General features: G+C 47.7%; 5 annotated features.

The window, feature by feature from the left end:
• Positions 11672–12172: an enhancer, noted in NCBI's record as "H3K4me1 hESC enhancer chr4:8725118-8725618 (GRCh37/hg19 assembly coordinates)". NCBI's record gives its function as "activates a minimal SCP1, AML or CMV promoter by ChIP-STARR-seq in naive H9 embryonic stem cells {active_cell/tissue: H9 hESC(naive)}" and the evidence as "EXISTENCE:reporter gene assay evidence [ECO:0000049][PMID:30033119]".
• Positions 12173–12673: an enhancer, noted in NCBI's record as "H3K4me1 hESC enhancer chr4:8725619-8726119 (GRCh37/hg19 assembly coordinates)". NCBI's record gives its function as "activates a minimal SCP1, AML or CMV promoter by ChIP-STARR-seq in naive H9 embryonic stem cells {active_cell/tissue: H9 hESC(naive)}" and the evidence as "EXISTENCE:reporter gene assay evidence [ECO:0000049][PMID:30033119]".
• Positions 14101–14713: an enhancer, noted in NCBI's record as "H3K4me1 hESC enhancer chr4:8727547-8728159 (GRCh37/hg19 assembly coordinates)". NCBI's record gives its function as "activates a minimal SCP1, AML or CMV promoter by ChIP-STARR-seq in primed H9 embryonic stem cells {active_cell/tissue: H9 hESC(primed)}" and the evidence as "EXISTENCE:reporter gene assay evidence [ECO:0000049][PMID:30033119]".
• Positions 15480–16185: an enhancer, noted in NCBI's record as "H3K4me1 hESC enhancer chr4:8728926-8729631 (GRCh37/hg19 assembly coordinates)". NCBI's record gives its function as "activates a minimal SCP1, AML or CMV promoter by ChIP-STARR-seq in primed H9 embryonic stem cells {active_cell/tissue: H9 hESC(primed)}" and the evidence as "EXISTENCE:reporter gene assay evidence [ECO:0000049][PMID:30033119]".
• Positions 17597–18300: an enhancer, noted in NCBI's record as "H3K4me1 hESC enhancer chr4:8731043-8731746 (GRCh37/hg19 assembly coordinates)". NCBI's record gives its function as "activates a minimal SCP1, AML or CMV promoter by ChIP-STARR-seq in primed H9 embryonic stem cells {active_cell/tissue: H9 hESC(primed)}" and the evidence as "EXISTENCE:reporter gene assay evidence [ECO:0000049][PMID:30033119]".

The following is a 24272-nucleotide window of genomic DNA, read 5'->3' on the forward strand; positions in this document are numbered from 1 at the left end:
GATCACGAGGTCAGGAGATTGAGACCATCCTGACTAACACGGTGAAACCCCGTCTCTAATAAAAATACACAAATTAGCCAGGTGTGGTGGCGGGCGCCTGTAGTCCCAGCTACTTGGGAGGCTGAGGTAGGAGAATGGCGTGAACCCAGGAGGCAGAGCTTGCAGTGAGCCAAGATCGCACCACTGCACTCCAGCCTGGGCAACAGAGTGAGACTCCGTCTCAAAAAAAAAAAAAAAAATGCCCCTGGGACATCCAGGTAAACGTGGTGGAATGGAAAGGACCTGGGCTTCCCCTTGTTAATCAGTGAGCACAGAGAACAACAAAACATGAAAACTGGTGAGAGTCTGCCAGCAGCATCCAGGCAATGACTTAAAGGGATAGCTGCCTGCCATGCTCATATTTTCACTGAAGTAAGCAAGGGAAACCGATCCCCGGGAGTCATGGCATGGCTCCTGAACACACTTCTGCATGGTAGAAGTCGTATTGTGGGGAGAGGGCAGGTTGACAGAATCCTAAGCACATCCATTGAAGGCTTATCAGCTTTGGAAGTTTCTATTGTCATATCCTTAAGCTCAGAATTAGTAGGCCATGTCCAGCCTACTAATAAACACGTCAAAGGCATTCTTCATTTCTGTGACAGTGTTTTTGATATCTAGCATTTCTTTTAAATTCTTTCTCAGAATCTTTCATATCTCTGCTTGCATTACCCATCTGTTCTTGCAATTCTTGGTCTGATAGTTTCAACATTCCTGCCATATCTGACTCTGATTCTGATACTAGTTTAGTCTCTTCAAACTGGCTTTTGCCTTTTAGTATGCCTTGTAATTTTTATTGGACCTTCCCTTAATCAACCAGTGAGTATAGCAAACAACAACAAAACATAAAAACTGGTGAAAGTGTGCTGCTTTAAGGTATGGTGGAAAAGGGTATGGGTGGACATCCTAGGAAAGACCCCTTGGGAACAAGGGACACAGGGTTTCAAGAGACACACAAAGTTTTTCAGGCCTTACCTTTTTAAATGTCTCCTGCTTATTTGAGAAAATGGCTAAAACCAAGGAATGAGAAACAAGCAAATCAGAGAAAAAAGGCAAAGATGTTGAAACAATCAGAGAGAGGGTAATAGAGGGACAAAATGATTCAAGAAAGGTAGTTGGTGGCCCTGAAGAGGATAACTCAACAATGGAACATAAATTATATTTTAAGATGTAACAGAAGACAATTTCCCTGATATAAAGGAAAGATGAATTTGCCAAATGAGCAGCAAATAATTTTCCAGGGTAAGGTGATGGAGAATGAGCCACACTGATACAAATCCTGGTCAAATTATTGAACTTTGAAGATAAAGAGGCATTTTCAGCCATCCAGGCAGCAAAAAACAAGTTAGGCCGTTATCAGATGACTCCACAGTTTCATTCAATATCACAACACAAACTTCTGGAGGTAAGAACCTGTGGGTGGAAAAGTATGACAATAAAAACAGACAAGTTGCTCAAGTATAAAGGCAACAGGCCAACATTCTCAAACATGAACTAATTCTGGGCATACAGAAAAAATACTTGATAATAAAGTCCAGCTAACCAAAGATAAAAGAAAGAGAAGTTGTGATGAAAGGTAGCATTCAATTTCAGGAGACAGTAGAGCAATGGCTGCAATGGCTAAGGGAGAGAAAAATGTAGCCAAGAAATTCTATACCCAGCTAAGATGGCCATTGGGTATAAAGGCAAAGCACAAGCATTCTCAAGTATGCAAGAATTCATAAAATATAACCTTTATGATTCTTCTTGTGGTAAAGATAACTTTTTGAAAAAAAAAATCTAGTTAAAAAATGGAATCAACTGAAATGCGCATCAACAATGCGCATCAACTGAAATGCGCATCAACTGGACAAAGAAAACATGGTACATATACACCATGGAATACTATGCAGCCACAAAAAGGGATGAGATCATGTCCTTTGCAGGGACATAGATGGAGCTGGAAGCCATTATCCTCAGCAAACTAATGCAGGAACAGAAAATCAAACACCACATGTTCTCACTTATAAGTGGGAGCCGAACAATTATATCACATGGACACAGGGAGGGGAACAACACACATTGGGGTCTGTCAGGGAATGGGGTAGGGGGAGGGAGAGCGTTAGGAAAAATAGCTAATGCATGCTGGGCTTAATGCATAGGTGATGGGTTGAAAGGTGCAGCAAACAACCATGGCACATGTTTACCTACGTAACAAACCTGCACAACCTGCACATGTACCCCAGAACTAAAAATAAAAATTTTAAAAAATGATTAAAGTTTTTAAAAACATGAGATTAGAGAAGTTGTGGTTAAACAAAAGACTGAGGGTAAGCAATCAATTAAGATGTATACACTTTAATAACTATATGAATTAAGATTACAGAATTCATAAATGTTATAAACCTTGACAAAGTAAAATCAATGATACAATAGATAAAAAATCCTGGGATTTTGTTTGAAATTGCATTAAATCTATAGATTAGGAGTGGGCAAACTTTTTCTTAAAGGACCATATGGTAAATACTTTAGTCTTTGAGAACTATATAGTCTCTAGCACAAGTATTTAACTCTGCCATTGAAGTACAAAACCGCCATTGACAATACATCAAAGAATGGACATGCTATTTTCTGATAAAATTTTACTTACAAGAATAGGCAGTCAGCCTAATGGTCATAGTTTACCAACCCCTACTAAATATCAATTGGAGGAAAAGGGACACTTAACAATATTGAGTCTTCCAATCCATGAATATGGTATATCTCTCCATTTGTGTAGATCTTTAATTGCACTTAGCAATGTTTTGACTTTTTATAACTTACATAACTTTTATTAAATTTATTTTGAATTATTTTGTATTACTCTAAATGGTATTTAAAATGTTTTAATTTCAATTTCCATTTTTTTTAAAAGTCAACTTCCAAACCATTGTTAGTATGGACAAATACTATTGAGCTTTTGTAAACTGACCTTGTCAGTATATAAATTATATATTTATAATTCATTCATTATACTCTAGAAGACTTTTGAAGATTCTTTATGGTTTCCTATATAGACAATCATGCTGCTGCAAATAAAGACTTTTTTTCCTTTCCAAAATGCATGCTTATTTTTTTAAAAAATTCTCTTTCTTGCTGTACTGAATTGGCTAGGACCTCCTGTACGATAATAGACACATATGGTGAGAGCAGATCTCTTGTTTTATTCTCAGTCATTGTAGGGGGGATGCATTCAGTCAATCACTATTAAGTATTATGTTGTCTATTAAGTTTTTCATAGACAGCCTTTATCAAGTTAAGGAATATCCTTTCTATTCCTAGTTTGCTGAGAGTTCTTATTATGAATTGAGTTTTGAAGAACGAGTATTGCAGAATGATTTTTCTGCCTTTGTTAAAATGATTATATGACTGTCTCCTTATTCTGTTAATGTGGCAAAGTACATTGATTTATTTTTAAATCTTGAACCAACCTTGCATTCCTAGGATAAATCCTACTAGTCCTTATATACTATTCTTCTTATGTTCAGTTGAATTCAATTTGCTAATGTTTTGTTGAGTGTTTACATATATGTACGTGTGTGTGTGTATATATATATATGAAAGATATTGGCATAATATTTTCTTTTCTTGTAATTTATTTGTCTAGTTTTGTTATTGGGGTAATAATATTGGCCTCAAAAAATAAGTTTTAGCATTCCCCCTTCCTCCTCCTCTATTTTCTGAATCTCTGTGACATTTGTATTATTTTCTTCTTATAATATACTTTGATAAAATTCACCAGTGAAACCATCTGGATCTGGAATTTTCTTTGTAGAAAGATATTTGGTAACAAATTAAATTTTTTCAGTAGTTATAGAGTTTTTCAGAATTTCTGTTTCTTCTTGAGTCAGTTTTGATAAACTACAGTTTTCAAGGAATCTGTCCATTTCATCTGTTATCAAATGTGTTGGCATAGGTTATTTGTAATATTCCCTTATTATCTTTTAATCTCAGTGAGATAGAAGTAAATTCAAAGTAAGTAGAAAAAGGAAGTAACATAGGTAAGAAGAAGTGAATTTAAAGTAAGTAGTAAAAGGAAATAATATCACTCTAAATACCTACATTAGAGAAGGAAAATGGTTTAAAATCAGTGATCTGTTTTTAAATCATTTCCTTCTCTAATATGGCATTTAAAAAATTAATTATATAGGAAGAATGTTTAGTTATATTCCACAAATTTTGAAATGTTTTCATGATAATTTATATTAAAATATTTTCTAATAGGCCAGGCATGGTGGCTCATGCCTGTAATCCAAACACTTTTGAGACTAAGGTGGGTGGATCATGAGGTCAGAAGTTCGAGACCAGCCTGACCAACATGGTGAAACCCTGTCCCTACTAAAAATACAAAAATTAACTGGGCATGATGGCGCACACCTGTAATCCCAGCTACTCAGGAGGCTGAAGCAGAAGAATCACTTGAACCCAGGAGGCAGAGGTTGCACTGAGCCAAGATCATGCCACTGCACTCCAGCCTAGGTGGCAGAGCAAGATTCTGTCTCAAAAATAAATAAATAAATTAAATAAAAGCCAGGCACCATGGCTCATGCCTGTAATCCCAGCACTTTGGGAGGCCGAGGCGGGTGGATCACGAGGTCAGGAGATCGAAACCATCCTGGCTAACACGGTGAAACCCCATATCTACTAAAAATACAAAAAAAAAAAAAAATTAGCCAGGCGTGGTGGCGGGCACCTGTAGTCCCAGCTACTCGGGAGGCTGAGGCAGGAGAATGGCATCAACCTGGGAGGCGGAGCTTGCAGTAAGCCGAGATTGTACCACTGCACTCCAGCCTGGGGACAGAGCAAGACTCCATCTCAGAAAAAAAAAAAAAAAAAAAAAGGATATGGGCCGGGCACAGTGGTTCATGCCTGTAATCCTAGTACTTTGGGAGGCCAAGGTGGGTGGATCACTTGAGGTCAGGAGCTCAAAAGCAGCCTGGCCAACATGGTGAAACTCCACCTCTACTAAAAATACAAAAAAGTCAGCCAGGCATGGTAGCAGGCACCTGTAATCTCAGCTACTCAGGAGGCTGAGGCAGGAGAATCACTTGAATCCAGGAGGCAGAAGTTGCAGTGAGCCGAGATTGTGCCACTGCACTCCAGCCTGGGCAACAGAGCGAGACTGTGTCTCAAAAAAAAATACATATATATATATATATATATATAAATGAATCTTTTATCCAGTTATTAATGGAAATATCATGATTAAAAGTATAATTTTCCTGCATGAAAAGTTTAATAGATGGGATTAACAGCAGTGTGGAGACTGCAGAGGAAAAGTTTAGAGTACTTGAATACAGGTGGGGGAAACCTATCCAATTGTAAAAACAGAAATTGAAAGGATTGAAAAAAAGAACAAAGCATCAGTTCTAAACAATAGAAATGGTTTAACATATGTGCAATTGAAGTTCCAGAGGGGGAAAGAGAAAAAAAAAATGGAACAGCAAAAAAATAGGGAAATTGCAGTTGAAATTTTACCAAATTTAATGAAGAACCTACAAATGAAGTGAGTCAAGATCTCAAAAGTCTACAGATCCCAAAAGCTTGGTAAGCCCAAGAGAACCACCCCTAAGCATGTTACAAGCAAACAACAGAAAAATCCAAAAAATAAAAAGAAAAAAGAAAAGAAAAAATCTTAAAAGCACCAAACGAAAAGTGTACATCACTACAGGGAAGCAACAATAAGAATCAATGATGATGATCTCTCAGCAGATACTATGGAGGCCAGAACATAAGGGCAACATCTTTAAGGAATTGAAAGAGAGAAGAGAAAGAAAGAAGAGAGAGACAGAAAGAAGGAAGGGAAGGGAAGAGAGAAAGAAAGAAAGAAAAAAAAAGAAAGAAAGAAAAGAAAGAAAGAGAAAGAAAGAAAAGAAAAGAAAGAAAGAGAAAGAAAGAAAGAAAAAGAAAGAAAGAAAGAAGGAAGGAAGGAAGGAAAGAAAGAAAGAAAGAAGGAAAGAAAGAAAGAGAGGAAGGGAAAGAAAGAAAGAAGAGACAAAGAAAGAAGAAAGAAACAAGAAAGAAAGAAAGAAAGATAGAGCTGCGACCCCAGAATTACATATCCATCAAAAATATCCTCAAGAAAGACGTTTGCAGATCAAAAATACCCAAGAGAATTTGTTGCCAACAGAGCTGCACACCAAGGGATGTTACAGAAAGTTTCTTGTTTGTTTTTTTTGTTTGTTTTGTTTTTGGTTGAAGAGAAATTATAGTGGGTGAGAACATGGGTCTATAGGAAGAAAGAAAGATCACTAGAAAGAGTACATCTGTGGATAAATAAGAAAGACTACCTTGTACTTATCAATTTCTTTGAAAGTCAATGAGCTATTTAAAGCAGATCTGTCCACAGTAAGTTTCTCTGAGGACGGAAATGTTCCACATCTGTGCTGTCTCACAGGGTAGCCAATAGCCACAGGTGATCACTGAGCACTGAAAATGTGGCGAGAGTGATGGAAAAACTGAATCTTTAATTTTATTTCATTTTGTTAATTTAAATTTAAATAACTACATGTGGTTAGTGGCTATCGTATTGGGCAGTGAAGATTTAAAGCAACAAATATGGTATTGTATTGGTGGGGGCATCATACTGTATACAGAGGTAAGGTAATGGCAGCAGTCCTACAGAGGAGAGGGAAGCTGAATGGACTTGGGCAGTGGTCAGATCCTTACATTGCACATGAAACAGTATAACATCAACTCCAAGTAGATTCTGATTAAGTTAATGATGCATGTTGTAATCCCCAGAGAAATCACTCAAAATAATACAAAAGGACCCTTTTTTAAAAGCCAAAATAAAGGCCAGACACTGTGGCTCACACCTATAATCCCAGCATTTTGGGAGGCTGAAGTGGGCAGATCATCTGAGGTCAGAAGTTTGAGACCAGCCTGGCCAACATGGCAAACCCAGTCTCCAGTAAAAATACAAAAAGTAGCTGGGCACAGTGGCGGGCACCTGAAATCCCAGCTACTCGGGAGGCTGAGGCATAGGACTTGCTTGAACCCAGGAGGAAGAGGTTGCAGTGAGCCGAGACCATGCCACTGTACTCCAGCCTGGGCAACAGAGAGAGATTCTGTCTCAATAAATAAATAAATAAAAGCCAAGAGAAAAATTAAAACAGAATGCTAAACATATTTAGTTAGCCCAAAGTAAAGGAGAAACAGAAGAACAACAGAGGAACAAAAAAATTCAATGAAACAAAGAGAAAAATAGGACAGACTTAAACCTAACCATATCAATAATTATATTAAGTGTAAATACATTTATTAAATGTAAATATAAAAGGCAGAGATAGACTGAAACATATCTATATTATCTGCTTTAGATTTCTAACATCTGAACTATAACAGGATCTCTTTCTAGTAATGCTTTCTTTTAAATTATAGGTCATAGTTTCTTGCTTCTTTGTATGTCTAGTAATTTTTAATGTATTCTGGACATTATAAAATTGTAAATAATATGGATTATGTTATAAGGATGTTGAGCATTGTTCTGGCAGGCAGCTAAATTACTGGTAAATCTTTTTTATTCTGTGGGGCTTAGCTTTATTCTTTGTTGGGGGGGTGTACTTCAGTTTGATCTTAATTCTAAGGCATGGTCCTTCCTCTAGGGTGTGATCCTTACTCCTAAGGCATGGCCTTTATGGGTCTCAACCAAATGTCCAAGTGCTCAATGAATTCTTGGCACTCTAACTGATCCAGAATCCCATGTCTCCCTGCACTTCACAGCCTCTGGAAACCCAGCATAGCACGCAGCTAAGCACTGGATGGACGATCACTGTGGTGGCTTATGAAGACATGTCCTGTACATGTGCAGCACAGCCTGAGACGAGGATCTGCACTGACCTCACGGGGCTGCTGGGGCTGCTCATCTGTGTGTCTCCCTCGTCTGATACGCTGCCCCCCAAATTCAGCAGCTCAAGCTCCAGTCTCTTTCTCTTCAGCTCAGTGAGATTCGGAGCTCCACGTGGGCTCCAGGAGGGAGAGGGCAGACAAAGCTCACCCACCTCCTTTGCTCCTCTTCTCTGGGGAACCACAAACCTGCTCTGCCTGTTGTCCAATATCTGAGCACAGTGGCCTCACATGTTCTCTACCGTTTCATCATTGTTTACACTGGGAGGGAAAATCCAGTACCTGTTATGCCAGAAGTGAAAATCCCAACAAATAACTAAGCTTGAAATTCCTTGTTCTTCTGGAAATGTATATGTATGGGTCCAATCTGGCACATAGTAGGTGATTGACAAATCACAAAAATTCTATGTTAATTAACTAATGCTCATCCCCCATATTTTGTAGTATTCAGTGTTTTCAAAGCATGTTTACATCCGTGGCCTCATCTGCACATCGTGATAGCCCTGTAAGAGGTTTTGGTTCGATATTATTTTCTTAGATGAAGAAACTCAGATTTCAACAGATCAAGTGATTCATCCAAAGTTGCCAGCCGAGTGCGGTGGCTCATGCCTGTAATCCTGGCATTGGGGAGGCTGAGGCAGGCGGATTGCTTAAGCTTAGGACCAGCCTGGGCAACATGGCAAAACTCTGTCTCTACTGAAAATGCAAAAAATTAGCCAGGCATGGTGGTGGGCGTCTGTAATCTCAGGTACCCAGGGAGGCTGAGGCAGGAGAATCGCTTGAGCCTGGGTGGTGGAGGCTGCAGTGAGCTGTCATCGCACCACTGCACTCCAGCCTGGGTAACAGAGTTAGGCCCTGTCTCAAAAATAAATGAATAAATAAAAACAAAGTTGCCGAGCTAGAAAAGGCGTCTATATGTGAAGCCCCTAGGCCGGTGCCCTCTGCACGAGGGACTGCAGCCTTCTACAGACACGATCTCCTGCTTCATCTCTCTCCCCTGTTCTCCTTGGGAAAAAAAAAATGTTCACCATACAGGTTTCTCTCCTGAGCAGTATGAGGGATCCATAAATCAGGAATAGTTAATTTCCCCATCAAAGCTGGTAACATGTGAGCCCCCCACGCCCCAGGAAGCTATGTCATTAGATTATTCAAAATCTATTCAAGTCAGTCTCTAGGTCAAAGCAAATTAGGGGAATGAAAACTTTGAACAAATATCTATGAATTTAAGTGAGGGGAGTGCAACAGATATTCCAGTTAGGTAAAGCAGGAAGGAAAAGAAATGAATTTACCCCAAACCCAAATACACAAATCGTCAACTAAGGCTAATTCCCTTCCACTTTGTGAAAAGTTACCCAGAGCTTCTTGGACTAAGACAGCGGCAAACGCTGCAGGAATGTCTCTTTAGTCTCTGGATCCAATTGGGCAAGATATTGTTTTGTTTCCGTGTCTCCGGTTCTTATCAAAATTTTAGAAGAAGAACACTTTAAAAATGTCCAAAGGTGCCCCCATCTCTCAGGGTGTTTCAGAACAGGCAGCATACGGCCCAGATGCTCTGGAGCTGCGCCGAATATTCACTGTCCATAAAATCAACCACTCATTTGTCTTTGTAGCTGGGAGGTTTCCAAAGAGAACCTTCACCAAAGATTCCAGCTTGGAAATTCAAGCCCAGAGACAGTGACTAGACACACAAGCTTTTTAGCAGATAACACTGCTTTGAAGCAGTTCTTTATTTGTATTAATATCTGTCACTCAACAGATATTTTTGAATGGGCAAATAAAGCCAGGAAAGAATCGATGAATACATTGAATGTATACAATGAATACAACTCGACTGATCCAAAATGATTTTAAAAGCAGGATGATTCCTATTGCATTTTAAAAAACAAAACAAGAACAGCTCTTACCTTACGTTTCACAGGCTTTCCCTCAGTATTCTTTACTCCCAGCTCAGAACTTTAGGGCCAAGATTGGCCCTGCTACCTGGCAGATAGTAGGTGCTCAATAAACATTTGTTGAATAAATAGATGAGTGGATAACCTTCAAAACTGCAGATTCAGCAAGGAAGCCTAGAAAACGAGTTTAGGTGCTTCCCGAAATGGAAATAAAGACTCAATTAAGCACACCCACACCCAGCAAACTCCTCCCCGAGGAACCCCCTGAGCTGACTCGTCCCTGCCCCATCTCCACCGCTCTTTCCCACGGAAGTGAAAGGTCCCTGTGTCCTTTCACTGGACCTGCCTGATTCATATTGAGGGTGGAGATTTGACCAGGGCCTGGCCCAAAGAGAGGCCTGGGGAAGGAGCTATTGAACACTTTACATGAGACAGTAAACCTTACTGTAAATCTTACACCGCAGACGGTGTTACCCATTTCAATGGAAATGTGTCCTGTTTTACAAAATCTAGAGAAGTGAGTGAGTAATTTTTTGTAAAGAGCTTTTTGGACCCAAATCTAATAACACACAACATATAGTAAAATGATATCTATATATAAAAGTATATAAAACAAGTATATAGTTAAGTTTGTCATACATAAATTTATTATTTAATAAGTTAGAGATTAATATATATGACCTATAAATATATAATATATAATACATATATAAATATATAACATAGATGAATAGATACACACTATATAAATACATTATTTATTTCCCTCCCCGCTGGGAAAAAAATCTGATAATTCTACCAGTTTCCATTGGTTTAACTTTACTGATTGGATTATCTCTTGTATGTAACTTGAAAATGTGGAACTTAAAAACATTTAACAAAAGACAGATAGTCTTCCTGGATATTACATGTATAGAGGCAAATTCAAAACAGAAAGCCAATACCGAATGGGTATTAGAAACGAATTGCCTGATTAAATCTTGTCTGAATTATCAGGTACATAATAAGGCAAGTGTTAGCTTTGCAGCAGAGCTGAGCCGTCACTCTGTGTGGCTCGCCTTCATCTAAAAGAGACCAGATACTTCTCGGTGGCAACTAAGAACCAACATTTTTCTTATTTAAGATGATTGGAATGACGGATGCATAAATCATAACATATGAAATTCCCCCCGTCACTTAGACCCCTTTAATACTAAACATTTGTTCCAATTTCTTGACCACCGCTGCACCCGGAGCTGCTTACCAGTTACGCCTGTGCTGATGCAGGCATTTTCTAAAATGCTCCATCACCTTGGCCCTCAAGGTGCTGTCTTGAAACTAGGAGGTCAGGATGTAAATGAAGGATGACTGAAACGCATTGGCTTAATCAACGATGGATGGCATGTGGCAATCATTTTTGGGCTTCTTCTAGATATTTGTAAAGAAGGTACCATGGCTTGGTTGATCATCTGAATATGATTATTTTTGGTGGGGAAGTAGGGGGTTGTATTTGTTTACCTCGCATTTTCTCAGGATTGCAAACTGATCCATAACTCTCCTGAAAGACTCTTAACTTTTAAGAACATAATTTAATGGTCTACATAGTAAAACCCCGTCTCTACTAAAAATACAAAAAAATTAGCCGGGTGTGGTGGTGTGCTCCTGTAATCCCAGCTACTCGGGAGGCAGGAGAATCACTTAAACCTGGGAAGCAGAGGTTGCAGTGAGCTGAGATCGCACCACTGCACTCCAGCCTGGGAGACAGAGAGAGACTCCATCTCAGCCAGAAGTACCCTTCCTGGGGGGCTCAGCCACGCCCACCCACCTGTTCTCCAACCCTAAATGATGGGGTCACACTCAACTTTGAAGCTCATACCTTTCCACCAGCTGCACCCAAGAACCTGGGGACGACCTAAAGCAGTCAGAGGAGGCCTCACATAGGGATGTTGAGAGGCAGCTGCTGTGCTGAAAGGAGCCTCGAACTGGTGAACAGTGGGGAAGGGGACAGACATACGAAGCCAGGAGGCCCCTAGGCAGGGCCTGTACCTCTGAATTAGCCTTCAGGGAATCCAGGAGACAGACACTGCCAGGGGGTGTGTTCCCGATTCCTCTGGGGACTGGGCCTTCAGCTGTGCAGAGCAGGATGGATGATGCCCATTTCAAAGGAGCAGAAACTGAGGCTGGGGCAGGGGCTGGCGTGCAAAGCCTTGGCTTGGGTCCCATGGGTGTAAGCCATGGAGTTTGCGCCTGCTTTCCACGTGTCGGGGAACTGGATAAGGTCTGCTGAGGCCTTGCTGAGTGTGCACTAGGTGGCCACTCTCCGGCAGCTGGCTGGAGCAGTGCTGAAGCCGATCTTGTGCTCTGATAGGTGTGGTCACTGCCCAACCCCCTCACACAAGAGCACACCGACAGCAAAGCCGGGCCCAGCCCAAGATGCCCATCCATGCCTCAGTTTCCTCTTTGGTGGTGGCCCTTCCTGTGAATGCCGTTCCCCCTGCAGAGAAGAGGGGGCGGGGACAGCAGGGGCGCTGCAGAGGAGAGGGCTGGCCGGTTCTCCTCCCTTCTGGGGCTGCAGCCAGTGGGGCCACCAAGCCTCCCTTTTTGTGTGAATCAGGCTGAAAAGAACCATGGGGGAAGGAGGGACCGAGACCCAAGTCAAATTAGGACTGTGGATTTTCCTTAGTGAGTTGTTCTAGAATGTTCCTAGGACAGAGCAGAGAGATGGAGCAGAAAGAGGAAGAAGAGAAGGAGGAGGAATAGAAGAATAAATAGGAGGAGGAAAAGAGAGAGCCAGAGAAACAGAGAGAGAGAGACAGAGAGAGAGGAGGTCTGGAGGACAGAGAGGGAGAGACCAGGAGAGGGGAACAAAGAGACAGAGACCTGGAGAAAGGGACAGAGGCAGAGACAGAGACACAGAGAGATGGACTGGGAGTTTCGGTGGGGCTGGGGACAGGTGTTGAGATCCTGGATGTCATTTGTCAATGGAGGGTGCTGGCAGCACTAAACCCCGTGATGGGGCGGGCGGGAGGGCCGGGGATGGCAGGGGCAGGTGGGTGGCAGGCCCGAGGGTCCAGGCTCAGGGTAGACCCAGGCGGGAGCATCATGGAGGTGGTGTCCACCAGCAGGGCTAATGGGGAGGCTGCCAAGAGAGGTTCCAGTCAGGAGACAGGAGGAGCCACTGGGGGACCGAGAGGCCACGGTCAGGGAGGGGAAAGGAAAACAAGAGGCTGAATCCAAAAGCCGAGCAACCGAGGGTGGACGTCTCCGCTGGCCCGCCCCTCCTCCCTGGATGGGTATTCTCAGATGCGCCTGCTTCCCCAACACAAGCCCCCCTGCTAAGAGTAAGGACAACAACTGACACTCATGTGTGGGACTCTACAGCTGGCAAATTTCCTCCCAATGTGGTTCTCACGGATGCACACTGTTCCAAAGCCCAGAGAGTCTGCGCCACTTGCCCAAGGTCACACAGGAGGGCAAGCTGGGGTACGAGCCCAAGACAAGTCCCGCCACCCTCCTCATGCTGAAGCTCACCTGGAGAATGTCCGGAAGAATGCGCTGTGGACAGAAGACACCCCTCCCCCTCCTCGCAGGTTCCTGCCGCACCCTGGGAACAGTGCCCTGGGGATACCGGGCCCTTGGGTTGCTGCAGGATCAATCTCTTTGCCTTCAGCTTCCACCAATGCCGGGTTTGCAGGGAGAGGCAGCCGGGACTGGGCATGTGGCCATGTGCAGGGCTGCGGAGTCCACTCGCTGGTGCCTGGTGTGTGGCCTGTGAGTCCCTCTGCCAGGTGTGATGGCCGGGCCGCCACAGGGCAGCTGGTCTTGGGGCGCCTGTGAGCCAGAGCAGAGCCGGCAGGAACAAGGCTGCGGGCGCCTAATGAGAGCCAGGTGGGGCCACACCTCGCCTGTCGGCGGCACCTCCTGGCTTTGATCAGTGATAAGGGACTAAGTGTTCCCAGGACCCCTGCCCTCCCCCACAGCCGGCTCCTGGCCTGGCCACCGCTTCCCCTTCAAAGCCACCTCTCATCACCCAGCCACAGGGCAGACAGAGGCAGAGGTGGAGGGGCCCCGGCTGGAGGGGCCAGGGGCGGGGCAGAGGTCCTGCTTCCCTGGGATCCATTTCTCCAACACTACTGCAAAGCCCCACGTGCTGTATAAACACACAGGCACACCCCAACACCACCCACTCCCAGCCCAGACCTAGAGGAAGCTTCCCTCCTCCCGGCCCTCGGCTCAGCCACCCACTTGTCCTCACGGGGCTGCCCCACCAGCCAGCAGGCCTCCTCCACGGTGAAGCCTGGAAACCCCTGCTCCACGGCCTCCCTAAGAGCCAGGCATCCCTGTCCCTGTCGGGGAAGGATCCCCCGCACCCCCTCCCTCCTCTCTATTTTGTTTTGGTGATTTTTTTAATTATTAAAAAAATGGAGCTTTAAAGTCTACTTTGCCCCAAAACTGGAGCAAAGCCGTGTGGAGGGACAGTGACCCTGACCCCGGTGTGGGACCGTGAGAGTGCAGGAGGGAGGCCGTTGGCCAAGGCTGCTGAAGCCCCCACGGCTTCTGATCCTTCCCCGCCCTTCAAAGTCTCACGGATGACCCTGGACCCATGGACTCCAGGCAGGTGTGGGGTGTCTGCACTGTCACTTGGGGTCACACTCACAGCCCTGTGATGCCTGGGGTGTCTGTCCTTGTCTGCTCATGGACGGGGCTCCCTGCTCTGAGGACACGACATGGGGGTGGAATCTGCCTGTATTTGGGGGGCGGGTGGGTGCAGGCACAGCTGCTGTGGGGCTCCTCATGAGTATGGCAACCTCATTAGTAAAGCAATCAACACTTGGTCACCAGCAGGGCTTCAGAGCCAGCAACCTGGGGGTGGGCAGCCCCCACCCTGTGTCTCCCAGCTGTGGATCTCCTGCTGGTTGACCTCCCCAGGTGGGAAGGAGAATTGAGAGGGTTAATGCAGATGAAGCCCACGGAGCAGAGCTGGGGCCCCACCACTCAGCTGCTCCTGCTGTTATCACCATTACCACCCTCACGGCAGCTGCCCAGGAGAAGTGCCAGGCTCAGGCTGGCTGGGGCAGGCAGGTGTGTGTTGAATGACTAAGCAAATGCTCTGACATCGGCCCCGGGAGGCCCAGAGGAATTAACAGCCTCCCCCAGTCTTCAGCTGTTTGCAGCCATAGGCTCCCTGTGCATATGACCGCCACTTGCAGGAGGCTCAGGGTGAAGCTGTCCCCTCCCACCGCCCACTCTGCACCCTCCCAGTGGTCCCCCCACCAACAGAGTAACGGTGCCCAGAGCAAAGGCCACAGCTCCGCTGCCCAGTGGCTCGGGAGTGTTGCTCTGAAGTTCTTCCTGGGGCCCAGCCTAGAGCTCACTCCTGCAGCAATGCACTGTATATATGTGCACGCTGCCGGTCACAATCAGGATCCTAACGTTTAGAGTAATTCCTGATAAATGATAGGTGGCCTGATTAAGATCCAGTTACTATTTGTTGAATGAGTGAAGGAATGAATGAATGAATGAATGATTGCAGGTTATTCGTACACTGATGATCTTATTTAATGTTTACCAAAAGAAAGATGCCTGTGCTGGCAGTTATGTGATGAACAGCCCCATTTGTTAGTTTCCCAGGCTGCCATAACACGGTACCACAAACTGGGTGGCTGAAAACAATAGGAATTATGTCTCCAGTTCTAGAGTCCAGAAGTCTGAAGTCACGGTGTGCAGGGCTGGCTCCTCGGGGGGCTGCGGGGTGGGGGTGTCATTCCCTGACTCTTCCTGGCTTCTGAGGGCTCTGGCATTCCTTGGTATTTCTTGGGCAGGTGGACGCATCACTCTGATCGCTGCCTTCGCCTTCACACGGCCGGCTTCCCTCCGTGTCTGTCTCTTCTCCGCTGCTTATAAGGACCCCAGTCATCGCATTTAGGGCCCACCCTACTCCAGTGTGACCTCATCTTAACATAGGTAATTGCACCTGCAAGGACCCTATTTCCAAATAAGGTGACTGTCACAGGTATTGGGGGATAGGACTTAGATGTGTCCTTTTAGGGGAGCACTGCTCACCCCAGTGCACCCTGTTTTCTAGGCTCATACTCACAGACAAAGCTGCAGAGTCAGAGGGCTCAGGGCCCTCCACCAGCCCAGGCTTTCGGGAGACAGGAACTGAGAGGTGGCCTGGCCGAGCTGCTTCCTGGAGGTTCTGAGGCCCTGACTGTGACTCTTCCTGCCACCCTGGGCTGCCGGGCAGACACTGGATGTGAATTTACACATGAGTATTGCAGCAGGGGCCGCCACCAACCCTGTCCCCCACCAACGGGTGCAGTCAGTCAACTGCTGGCTCGGCCCCACTGGCCTCCATTCTGGAGAATGGTCACTGCTCCCAAAGCAAAGCTTGTGTCCAGTTGCCCACACCGCAGTCAGATAGAATTGTTCTCTGACCAATGGGTGGGGGCTGCAGGAGCACAGAAGGTGTGGCCTCCTGGGTTAACCCCTAACTTGGAGCAGAAGAGGGGCTTTAACAAGGACCTGGTGGGAATGGTAAGCCCAGAAGGCTTCCTGGAGGAGGTGATGGGCGCACAGAGAAGAGGGAGCTGGGGTTGAGGCTGGAGGGAAGGTTCTAGCGAAGGCCAGCAAGGAAGAGGGTGGGAAGGTCCGTCCCATTCTGGACAAGGCTGGGCCACTGGAGACAGGCCTGGGAGAGAGGGTCTACCCAGCATGGAGGCCTCTATGAAGGACAGAGGGTGCACTGGTTTGCTTTGCTGCTGATGGAGCCCAGTAGCCCCTGCCAGTGCTGGATTGAGACAATGGAGTTTGAGGGAGAAGGAGTTGCGGGGAGGCCCTCAGAGGCGTGGGCTGGTTACTCGGTAGCCATCTCCTCAGCGCTTCCCTCCTGCCGGGGCTGAGTGGCCACCAGGGTGGGTGGAGTAGGGATTTGGGCCACTTCCCCAGGCTTCGGCTTCCTGTGTGCAGTAGGTGCCTTTGGCTGGTGCATCCTGAGTACTCAGAGTTTGCTGTAGCCGAGAATTTCCCAGGGAGACAGTGGAATCTGGGGTCAGTGAGCTGGAGAGGGGCCTACGCCTTCACCTCATGCTCCCTGCAAGAAAGTTCAGGATCCCTGTCCTCCCCCAGGGCAGAGGTGGGTGGAAATGGGTGGACCACAGCTTCTAAATCCATCTCTACCCCGAGCCTGGGGTGGCCTTGGGCAGGAGGGCAGGAGATCTTGTGTCTCTGGGTCTCTGTTTCCTCATCTGTGAAGAGGGCGATGCTGGCGGCTGCCCCAGGTGCTGTGAGACAGAAGGAGCAGATGCAGGAAAAGCCCCCCAGTGGCACAGCAGGCCGGAGACACCCCGGGACGTGCACGCTCCGCTTGGCCTGGCCTGGCCTGGTGGTCTTCATATTTGCTAACTGTATGGAAAGACGGAGTTTTCTTTCTTTAGAATAATACAAATGAATTCACTCATGCTACAGAAACCGATCGAGCTCCACTGGGCAGGGCGCTTGGGATGTGTCAGTGAGTGAGGCAGCTGCATCTGCCTACCCATCGTGTTTGCACTGGGAGGTGGCGTGGGGGAGGGAGATGGGTGATAAACTACAAAGACAGCAGGCGACTGTCTGCTAGACAGACAGATGGACACTGGGGGACAGCAACAAACAGAGCCGGAGAAGGGGATGGAAAGGGCTGGGGCAGGAAGGGAGGCTGGGTGCAGCTTCAGACAGTGGCCCAGAGCTCATGGAAGGGGGCGTCATGGAGCGGGGGCCTTGTGGAGTGGGGGGCCTTGCAGGGGGACCTCATGGAGAGGGGAGCCTCAGGTGGGGGGCGTCATGGAAAGGAGGGCTTCGTGGTGGGGGGTCTGGAAGGGGACCTTGTAGGTGGCTTCATGGAGAGGGAGATCTCATGGAGAAGGGGGCCCTCATGGGAGGGCTCAAGTAGGGGGGCCTTGCATGGGGGCCTCGTGGAGGAGAGGCAGCATGAGGGGGTGAGGAGTGAGCCTTAGAGAACCTGCCGGAAGGGCATTCCAAGCAGAGCGAGCAGGTGGCACAGAGGCCTATGGGGTGCACCAGGGCTGGGCTGGGGCAGTGTGAGTGGGGGAGGGGCTGGGAGCTGGAGCCAGGGCTGCAGGCCCAGCTCATGGTACCTGGGTGACCACTGCCAAGGCCATGGGCTTTAACCCCGAGTGGGAGGAGGGGCCTGTGCAGCATTCAGAGCCGAGGAGGGGCATGACCCAATGACACCGATCCTTTAAGAGGACAAGGTGCAGCATGCTCACTCGCTGGGGCTGAGCAGGTCAAGCCGTATTTCAGATGTCCCCCAAAGACAGATCTAAGTTGTAACCCCGGTACCTGTGAAGGGGACCCTATTTGGAAATAGGGTGGAGGCGGCCTTGCTGGCGGCCTGGCTGGGGCATGAGGGGCATGGGGGACGATGTTCAGGTTCAGGGCCAGATGAAGCAAGGGAAGTCTGGATACACCCCCCAGCCAGACACAGGCCTTGGGGCAGGTCTCAGCAGGATGACGGCAGCTCAGGTGTGGCCGAGCTGTTGAGTTTGCTCTGCGGGTGAGACGTCTACTGGAGAGGTGGAGGGTGGTAGGTAGAGACGCAGGAGGCTTGCAGGGAATGAGGCCTGGCCTGGAGATACAGCGGTATAAATGTTGCACAAGTCAACACACGTGGTGATGTAGGTGATGTGTCGAGGTCCTGCCCATTTCTAAAAGGAAGGTGTTGAGCAAGAACCAGCTCTCAAGTTGAGTCTGTGACTGCAGCAGCATGAGAAGGAGCAGGGGTGGGGGCCTTCGCAGGTTCCGGAGGTGACAGGGTCAGGGGATGCTGCCACCAAGCTCTGTGATCAGAGAGAGGCCGGGTAAGCCCCATCTGGCACCTTCACACATGGTCATCTCCTCACCTGGCGCCCCTTCCCTGGGGTCGGCCTCTAACCTCAGACCAAGAAGAGCTGTGCTTCTTCCCAAAAGGCCTTTTCAAAAACCACAGAGTTTTTGCATGGTGGATGTAGGAACTGATGCATTTTTCACCCTCGCCCTGGTTGCTAGAAGGCTCGGGACAAACCCAGGGTCCCTTCATGTGAGTGGGAAGTTTTCGGGGACTATTTGGTAAACTGGGTCATATCCGAGCCAGGACAGGTCCCCTGACCTTATGTGATCTTTGCTCAGACTTCCTTGTTCATTAAAATCACATATTCACTGTTTGGGTTCTACCACCCACCTATACTAGTAAGTTCATTTATGTCTCCAAGTATTGGACTTAATTGCTATCTAACAGTGGAGTGTTCGCCTGGCCAGCCCTTGTAAGTCATCTGCCTTAGACTTGTGCCCACAGTGGGTGGCCAGTTGCTGGAGAGAACTCCCAGGCTGCACCAGGCATGTTCACCTGGAGCCCGGGGAGAAGGTTCCTGTGGGACCCTCAAAGCGCCCTCAGTGTGTGGGGAGGGAGGGAACCTGGCGGCATCTCTTGACCATCTACCACGAACATCACATACACATTCTCCCTTAAACTTCAGCCAAGCCTGAGAAGTGGGTCTTTTTTTTTTTTTTCTGAAACGGAGTCTCACTCTGTCACCCAGGCTGGAGTGCAGTGGTGCAATCTCGGCTCACTGCAACCTCCGCCTCCTGGGTTCAAGCCATTCTCCCGCCTTAGCCTCCTGAGTAGCTGGGATTACAGGCACGTGCCACCATGCCTGGCTAATTCTTGTATTTTTAGTAAAGATGGGGTCTCACCATGTTGGCCAAGCTGGTCACAAACTCCTGACCTCAAATGGTCCACCCTTCTTGGCCTCCCAAAGTGCTAGGATTATAGGTGTGAGCCACCATGCCCAGCCAGAAGTGGACCTTTTGTCCCCATTTTACAGATGAGGACACTGGGGCTTGGGCACAACAAGAAACCTGCCCAGGGTCATGCCTAGTGCTGACCTGTGAGCCCAAGTCCGCCCAGGTCGAGGTCCACACTCTTGGCTGTGAGCATATGAATAGCTCACCTGGGAGACAGGTGTGTGTGTCCGAGCAGCACTCCACCAGGAGGCAGCATGGCTGGGCAAGACCCCTGAAGCCCTCCAGGGAGGAAGGCGTGGCCCCAGAGAAATGGCCCCTAAAGTGGTCCACGTTGGAATCCAGGAATCTGTGACTGTGTTAGGCTTTGTGGCCCCAGGACATCCAGACTTCAAGTCAGTTGACTTGAGATGGAGAGATGATCCTGGATCATGACACAGGTCCTGCACTGGGCGGGAGGGAGGCAGAAGCAGGGCCAGAGTGACTCAGTGCAGGAAGACCTCCACCCACTGTGGTTGGCTTTACAGTGGGAGCTCAGGGCCACGAGCCAATGAATGTGGGCACCTCTAGGAGGTGGAAAAGGCAAGGACTGGCTTCTCCCCTGGAGCCTTCAGAAGGAACACAGCCTCACTGACACCTTGACATTATCCCAGTGAGACCCGTGCTGGACTACGAGCTCCAGGACCATGAGATAATTACTGAGCACTGACCTGCCAAGTCCATGGTGTTTATTATGGCAGCCACAGGAGACGAACACCACAAAGGGTTAAACACTGTTTCCCAGAAGGCTGGGGGAGGCTGAGCTGCCACAAAGGATATGGAGTGTCATGGATGGAGGATGAAACGGGCCCTCTCTCCCTCCTCTTGGTCAGCCTTGGCCGGAATGGGAGACCAAGGAGTTAGGCCAGGCAAGTGGAGGAAAACCTCAGAATCCAGGCAAAAGCTGAAGAAACTGAGGCCATTGTGTGCAGGGGGCAGGGGCACAGATAGACCTTGTCACCTTCTCCACGTCTCAGAAGGGTTGTCACTGGCAGCGGAGCCCAAGAAAGGCTCGGCCTCTGTACTGGAGGAGGGGTCTCAGGGGTGGTGCACAATGCAGGGCGAACATTCATGGTAGTGAGCTCCCCAGCACTGGAGACGTACAAGCCAGGGTCAGTGTGCCACCATCAAGCCAGAAGGACAGCTGGCCCGGAGACGCTGATAGAGTTCTCACGAGATCTGTTTGGTTGAAAGCGTGTAGCACCTCCCACTTTGCTCTCTTCCTATCGCTCCAGCCACATAAGATGTGCCAGCTTCCCCTTCATCTTCTGCCATGACTGTAAGTTTCCTGAGGCCTCCCCAGTCATGCTTCCTGTACAGACTGCAGAACCATGAGCCACTTAAACCTCTTTTCCTTATAAATCACCCAGTCTCAGATAGTTTTTTGTAGCAGTATGAGAACAGACTAATACACCAGGATTTCCCTTTCACTCCCTGACATCCACCCCCATCTTGAGGCCTGAAAATGCCCAAGGGGAGGCCACAGGGATCTGGGGTTGCCTGACTCTGGGGCAGCCTGTCCACAGGAGAAGGGCTCAGCCTCAGCGGGCAGCTGACATCTGGGCATTGCAGCCACTGGCCCCACAAGGACAGGGCATGGTCAGACCCTCCAGCTGCGAAGAGGAAGGGGATACTCTGTACTCTGCCTCTAGGACCCCATGGGTGCCCAGCACCTCAGTTTACCCCAGAGATCTCCCTTGAGTAGTTTTGGGCCTATAGAGCAGGGATCTCCCACCCCTGGGCCTGGACTGGTATCAGTCCATGGCCTGCTGGGAACCAGGTCTCACAGCAGGAGGTGAGTGGCAGGCAAGTGAGCATTCCCGCCTGAGCTCCACCTCCTGTCAGATCAGCAGCAGCATTAGAGTCTCATAGGAGATGAATCCCATTGCGAACTGTGCACACGAGGGATCTAGGTTTCATGCTCCTTATGATAATCTAATGCCTGATGATCTGAGGTGGAACAGTTTCATCCCAAAATCATCCCTCCACCCAACCTGGTCTGTGGAAAAATTGCTTTCCACAAAATTAATCTCTGGTGCCAAAAAGGTTGGGGACTGCTGCTATATGAGATGGATATGGGTTTACTGGGGACTGAAGTTTACATAATGGGGTGAGGGCTTTTAAGAAAAAGAATACAAGGCCGGGTGCAGTGGCTCACCCCTGTAATCCCAACACTTTGGGAGGCCAAGGCAGGTGGATCAGCTGAGGTCAGGAGTTCAAGACCACCTGGCTAACATGGTGAAACCCCGTTTCTACTAAAAATACAAAAAATTAGCCAGGTGTGGTGGCACGAGCCTGTGATCCCAGCTACTCAGGAGGCTGAGGCAGGAGAATCACTTGAACCTGGGAGGCGGAGGTTGCAGTGAGCCAAGATTGCGCCATTGCACTCCAGCTTGGGCAACAAGAGCGAAACTCCATCTTGGGAAAAAAAAATACAAAATTACAAAATTATAAATGCAAATTTAGTTATAAAAGTGAACATTTACTTAGAATGAGGAAAGAAATAACACATTTCAAGCTTAAAATAGCTTACAAATACAACAAATTTCAAAGCTCCAGAAAAATTACATCAATTTTACTAAGGAACATTCTTGTGACTATTTACTTTATACCCACAGGTTTTGGCCACATGCTTGCTCCATCTCTCCATAAGATCCTAATTTGACAGTATTTTCCATTGAGACAATCTCTCGTGGTTGGTCAAAGCTTGTTTTCAAGTGTTGACATTTGAAAGAAGTTTCCCTTTTACTATTCGTTATTTGTCATATTATATAAATTATGAAACAGTTGTCAAATTTGGGGAAACCTCATCAAATTGCTTCTCTACTTGAGATGTGCAATATCAAGGCACTTCCAGGGCTCTTGGATATAACTCATGTTGGACGCTCTTTGAATTGATGACATACCTCAACCAGTTGGTCATCAATGTCCTTGCTGTGTTGAATATTGTGAGCTTTCTACTCTCTTCAGTGATGTCAAATGTTTTGTGTTAAATCAGCAGGAAATTTAGATATTTTCATAGAGTATTCATGTGACCCATTTATTAATGGATTATCTGATGATCCAAGAGTTTATTTATTACTTTGATTTAACATTTATCTCTTTTCCTTATTGCTCGCCTGGGTATGATCTGCTACGTGACTGCTGCATCTGCCCAGCCTGTTGTGAAGGCGGCCAACAGGGAGCACACTGCATCTCATTTCTGTACATCCTTCCTTGGCCCCTTCCCTTTTTCCTCCATCCTCATCACCCTGGGTTTGCACCTCCCAAATAACGTGTTAGTTCCTTGATTTGTGCTTCTTTCTGCGGGCCTGGGGCTGGGTCCAATGGGATGCCTTTCCCCTGTTCTTGGTTTTCAAGAAGGAGAATGTATCTGTGATGTATTCCTGCTCTTCACTGCTCCAGGAAGGTGGAGTGACTCCCATGATAGGCAGATTTGGGAAAGATAACTGAGACGTCTTGGCCTAGCTGAGACCTTCCCCTTGAGAGAGGCTGACAGCAGAGGCCAGATGGAGAGGCCTGGCCTGGCCAGGCCAGGGCTGCCTGGAGCTGGGTAGGCACATCTTCCTTCTCATTCTCAGCCACATTCACTACCCTGGCCTCCACCACTCCGATGGTGATGTTGAGAGATTCCATCTGTTGGCTCCTATTTTATTTCAAAAGCGTTGAGCCCTGGGCCAGCTCCAGAGACCCCATTCTCCCCAGGGCCTAGTATGGAGCCCAGGGTCTGGAGCAGAAGAGGAGTCCTGGGACGAGGACTGTTGTTGTTGTAACTTGATGACAGTCAGGGAGAAGCTGTTTTGCATAGCAACCCCCAATGTGCATTCTACCATCCCAGGGCCTAGAACCCCCTACCAGGAATCTTCAGCAGGTCCCAGGAAGCAAGAGACCTCAAAGAACTGGCACACTTTTCATCCCCTTTGGCCACACCAATCTGGAACTTTCAGAGTTGCTGTCAGAACCAGAGGCACCCCCCACCAGAAATGCTGAAGGATCTCTTAGGGCAATTCCACATTGGGCAGTCATGAAAGGGTCTGTCCTGGCAGAGGGCCAGGCCAGTAGTCACTGACAGAGGGGTGTGCATTGAGAAGCAGCCCCTTGGAATGTGCCTCGGGTGTTACCAGGGCCCCAAATGCACGGTGCTGGCCTCCACGGGGCCCCACTCATCTGACCTAGGACTTCACCTATATATGGCCATGTACTTTATTTGGGGGTGATCCCAGAAAGCACATGATGGGGCTAGGGAAGGGAGACAGAGAGGGGAGGAGAGCCAGGAAAAGTGCATTGATGAGGGAGTGGCCTCCACGGACAACTGGAGCTCAGCCCTCCTGGGCACTGGAGGTCCTCACAGAGACAGTGCAGAGCCCTCCACAGAACTGTGCCTACACAGGGCCTTCCTTCACCTAGTCTTCTCCAACAGTGAGTGAGGGCTGTTCTTGCAGGAACAAACTCCCTAGCTTTTCTCGCCTGCCCTGCAAGTGGGCCAGGCTGACTTCCATGACCAGAGTAAGCTCACAGGCTCGAGCCTCAGGGGTGCAGGGGAACTGTTCAGCAACGGAAACTGAAGCCCTAGGTGGGCCAAGGGGCTGCGAGACACACAGACAGCCGGCATCGTCGGGAGGACAAGAGCGCTGGGTTACCCATGCCAGATTTCCCACTTTTGGGGGTGTCCGGGGTGAGGGG

Source organism: Homo sapiens, chromosome 4 (assembly GCF_000001405.40).
Source record: "Homo sapiens chromosome 4, GRCh38.p14 Primary Assembly".
NCBI lineage: Eukaryota > Metazoa > Chordata > Mammalia > Primates > Hominidae > Homo > Homo sapiens.